Below are 2,508 nucleotides of genomic sequence, written 5' to 3' on the forward strand. Positions count from 1 at the left end.
CAATAAAACAAAATTGAGATGAAAATGTGGGCTTATCACTTCTTTCATAGGAGAGACACACGTCTTCTTCATGCATGGGCCCTCTCAGGTATCTTCAGCTCCTGCATCTCCACATTAAAGGAGGAAGCAGGACTGGGTGTGTGTGTAGCAGAGGTAGGTGTCCACACTCCCTGCTTCCTGGGTTCATATTCTACCCGTGTTTCAGGGATATTGGGGAATGAGACACTTGGGGAATTCTCTTAGAAGTTGCAGAGGCAGGGCTGTGCTCAGAAAGTCCTAGCTGGGCTTTGCTGTGGAGGCCCAGAGCCATGATCATGGAAATGACTTTCCCAGCTCTGCTTCTCTGGAGGGACTCTGGGGAAGGGGAATCACTGGTCTCTGAAGTGTCTTTCATGCACTAAGCCGAATGACCTTGGCCTGAATCGCTCAGGGTTATGTAAGATTAGGTAGCCACTTAGTCAAAAATAGCTTTCATGCTGACTCCAGCCCACAGAATAGCATCCAAGTCAAGGGGGCACAGATGCGTCAGAGCTGGGCATGCATGGGGAAATTCCCCTCCTGGTCCTCGCCATTGGAAAATCGCTTGAGGGTGTTAGCCGGGACTTGGAGCTGCTGCCAGGTAATCTCCTGTGTGTCTCTGTTTGGCAGCATATATGTGACTGTTTTGCTGAAGGAGAGAAACCAAGGGACCATAAACACAGAAATGCAGTGCAAACATTAGAATAAAAGTGAGAAAGAGGGTGCGGTAGGCAGAAAGAGCACTGAACTAGGAGCCTTCAGATCTGCTACTACCATTGACTTTCTGGAGCCAGTCACTTTTTTCTATTCATTCAACAAATACTTACTGAGCCTACTGTGTGCCAGAGACTGTCCTAGCACTGGAGACACAAAAGGGAAGGATAGATGCTATTTCTTCCCTCATGGAATTTTAGCTTGTAAGCTGTCTTGTCCCTCAGCTTAAAGATAACACACATCTTCTGAGAAATTTCTTATGCCAGGCACTTTACAAGACATTCGACATACACAGTGAACAAGCCAGATACAGTCTTTGGCCACATGCAGCTTGCAGACTAGAGGGAGAAAAAGACAAATAAAGACAAAAAAAATCCAGACAATTTGTCTTTGCAATAAAAATTCCAATAAAGGGCGCTTTTAGGCCTAAGAGGAAGATGTCTGTATTGATTGGGACGGTCACTGTCTTGTTCAAAGTTTCTGCCCAGTGAAGGAGCATGTCGGGGCTCCTGTTTTCTCCTCCTGGAAGAGACATTGGGTAAAAGCAACCTGGATCCCGCATGAGGAAGAGAACCCCATCCACTGCTATTCAGAGTGGGTGTTGGTCTGATATTTTTGGAGGAAAATTTGGCAACATTCATTAAAGCTTTACAAGTATTCCTCTCCTTTGACCTAATACATTCATTTCTGGGAGGTTATCCAAAGGAAATAATTGGATAAGTGTACAAAGATGTACATTGTAAAGAAACTCAATGAATCCTTATTTACGACAATTAAAAATTTGAAATAACCAAGACAGTCAATAATAAGGGATTGTTGAAGCAAATTGTAGTCTAGCTGGACTGGTAGCACATGTCTATAGTCCCGGATATGGCAGGAAGATCCCTCGAGCCCAGGAATTGGGGTTCAGCCTGGGCAACATAGTAAGACCCTGTCTCAAATAAAAAATAAAAAATTGCAGTATATCTATAAAGTGCCATAAAATAATTTTTGCCCTTTATACCATTAACATGGAAAGATGTTCATGATATGATAAGTTAAAAAAATTGGTTCAAAAAATTGTGTGGGATAGTACCAAAAAGAGCAGAATACGTAAGAATAAATTTACCCAAGAAGGTGTAAGACTTCTTTACGGAAACTTTAAAACACTGCCAAAAGAGATGAAAGAAGACCTAAATATACAGACATTCTTTGCTTATGGGTTAGAAGACTCACTTTTTAAATTAAATTTTAATTTCTATCATTAATTTATTTGTTTATTTTTATGGGAACCACTAAGACCGCGTCGTCTCCTTACTCCCCTGAAGGAAGAGAAGAAGGATCATCAATGGCAAGCGGCAGCTGCAACAAAACAACACTATGAGCTGGCTGCATGCTCAGGAAAGAATGCCCGCCTCCTCCGTTTGGTTTCCAGTGCTCTAAACATTCAGAGAAACTTCTCTAGTATTGAATGACAGAAATGAGCCCTGAGAGTAGAGTCTTAGAAGACTTGATTTTGTTAAGACAACAATATTCCCCAAAGCAATATGCAGATTCAATGCAATCCCTATCAAAGTCCCCAAATCCCACAAATTCCGTTTTGCTGAAGTAGAAAAGCTGACTCTGAAATGTACATAGAATTGCAAGGGATCCCAAATAGTCAAAACAATCTTGCAAAAAGAAGAACAAGGTGTTAAGACTCACATTTGCCAATTTCAAAACTTACTACAAAGCTACAGTAATCAAAATCATGTACTACCAACATAAGGATAGTCATGCATATAGATCAATGGAATA

At 41.5% G+C, this 2,508-nt stretch overlaps 1 non-coding gene across 1 annotated transcript; it reads right to left on the minus strand.

Moving 5' to 3' along the window:
• Positions 1-2,002: 2,002 nt before the first annotated feature.
• Positions 2,003-2,214, minus strand: LOC124901221 (small nucleolar RNA U3). The gene has a single exon (XR_007059180.1). It is a non-coding gene; the product is annotated as a small nucleolar RNA U3 (small nucleolar RNA).
• Between the last annotated feature and the right edge of the window lie 294 nt (positions 2,215-2,508).

The sequence above is a fragment of the Homo sapiens genome, chromosome 5 (genome assembly GCF_000001405.40).
Source record: "Homo sapiens chromosome 5, GRCh38.p14 Primary Assembly".
In the NCBI taxonomy this organism is placed as follows: Eukaryota; Metazoa; Chordata; class Mammalia; order Primates; family Hominidae; genus Homo; species Homo sapiens.